The 2,152-nt window shown below is 42.8% G+C and overlaps 1 annotated feature.

Moving 5' to 3' along the window:
• Positions 1,181-1,848: an enhancer, noted in NCBI's record as "OCT4-NANOG hESC enhancer chr8:30061632-30062299 (GRCh37/hg19 assembly coordinates)". NCBI's record gives its function as "activates a minimal SCP1, AML or CMV promoter by ChIP-STARR-seq in naive and primed H9 embryonic stem cells {active_cell/tissue: H9 hESC(naive and primed)}" and the evidence as "EXISTENCE:reporter gene assay evidence [ECO:0000049][PMID:30033119]".

The raw sequence follows: 2,152 nt of genomic DNA on the forward strand, positions 1-2,152 counted from the left end.
CTGGTTGGATGCAGTCTTTATCTTTTTATTTGTGTATTAAACAAAACATCTTATCCTTGTTGGCAGAGTCCCCTGTGAAATATAAAATGGAGTCTTTTTCTAAGATGGAGTTAGTTATGTCAAGGGTGCTCAATACAGTAGTGGATGACTGTGAGCACTCCCTTCAGCTCTGATTATTCTAGTCTAGGGTCCCATTTGCCATGGTCCTCACAGAAGGGTTACACCCAGATTATGAGAGAGTCTGTGGAAGCCCTTGACCTTGGTTGTGCATTGACACCCCTAGGCCAGACCTCAAAATCTCTGAAAAACTTTAAAAGTTTCCCAGGTGGCACATACTCCCCCCAAGGGTAAAAATGGCTTCCTGCTGGGTGTGGTGGTTCATGCCTGTAATCCCAGCACTTTGGGAGGCCAAGGTGGGTGGATCACGTGAGGTTGGGAGTTCGAGACCAGCCTGTCTCTACTAAAAATACAAAATTAGCCAGGCATGGTGGTACATGCCTGTAGTCCCAGCTACTTGGGAGGCTGAGGCAAGAGAATCACTTGAACCTGGGAGATGGAGGTTGCAGTGAGCCAAGATCGCACCATTGCACTCCAGTCTGGGCAACAAGAGTGAAACTCTGTCTCTAAAAAAACAAAAAGGCTTCCCAGTGGCAGGAGTTCTTGTCAATGGGCAGCTGTCCTCCTCTCTGGAAATCTAAATTCTCTTTTAAAAGTTTATATTTCTATTAGGTTATTGTACATAATTATTTTGCATAATTTTGTAGGGCTACTCAGGAGAAATGAAACAGCTTAAAGAAATGATGCAGGCCAAGCACAGTGGTGGCTCATGCCTGTAATCCCTGCACTTGGGAGGCTGAAGCGGGAGGATCACTTGAGCTCAGGAGTTTGAGACAAGCCTGGGCAACACGGTGAAACCCTGTCTCTACTAAAAATACAAAAATTACCCAGGCATGCTGGTGCAAGCCTGTAGTCCCAGTTACCTCAGTAGGCTGAGGTGAGAGGATCACTTGAGCCTAGGAGGTCGAGGCTGTAGTGAGCCAAGATCACACCACTGCACCCCAGCCTGGGCAGCACAGTGAGACACTATCTCAAAAAATAAAAGAAAAAATAAAAATAAAAAAGAAACGATTACATATATACCACATATTTGTCGAAAAAAAAAAGAGTCCAACTCTGTAAAATATTTGAAGAGATTTATTCTGAGCCAAATATGAGTGACCAATGAATGGCCTGTGGCACAGCCTCAGAAGATCCTAAGAACATGTGCCCAAGGTGGTCAGGCTACAGCTTGATTTTATACATTTTTATACATTTTAGGGAGACATGTAATCAACACCCGTAAGATGTACATTGGTTTGGTCTAGAAAGGTGAGACAGCTGGAAGGTGGGGGTGGCATTCCAGGTCATAGGCAGATTCAAAGATTTTTTGATTGGCAATTGGTTGAAAGAGTTCTTTTCTAAAGACCTAGAATGTCTGGGTGAAGATAAGGGGTTGTAGAGATGAAGGTTTTATTATGTAGATGAAGCCTCCACGTAGCAGGCTTCAGAGAGAATAGATTGTAAATGCTTCTTTTCAGACTTAAAGAGTCTGTCCTATCAGTCTTCAGGTCTCTGTGTTGATGTTAATGTTGGTCAGCTGGGCCTGAATTCCAAAAGGGAGGAGGGAATGAGGAGGCATGTCTGACATGTCCCCTTCCCATCAAGGCCTGAACTAGTTTTTCAGGTTAACTTTGGAATGCCGTTGGCTGAGAGGACAGGGTCCATCAGTTGGCTTAGAATACTATTTTTGGTTTACGTATTTATATGCACACACACCTGCATACATTGTTCCTGAGGACAAGTGCAAAGATTATGTGTCTATGACTACACATTATTTATACTGAAAAGGAGATTGAATCAGATTTCATTCTAGAAGACTTGACACCCCACAAGTCCATTACGATCCAAGGGCAGTGATAGAAATGACAAAGCCTCCTTCCAGAATACAGGTTGAGTATCCCTTCTCTGAAATGCTTGGGACCAGAAGTGTTTTGAATTTGAGAGTGATTTTTTTTTAATATTTACATTATGTAATTACCAGTTGAGCACCCTAATCCAAAAATCTGAAATCCAAAATGCTCTAATCCTTTGAGCATCATGTTGGTGGTCAAAA

This window comes from Homo sapiens, chromosome 8, assembly GCF_000001405.40.
Source record: "Homo sapiens chromosome 8, GRCh38.p14 Primary Assembly".
NCBI lineage: Eukaryota > Metazoa > Chordata > Mammalia > Primates > Hominidae > Homo > Homo sapiens.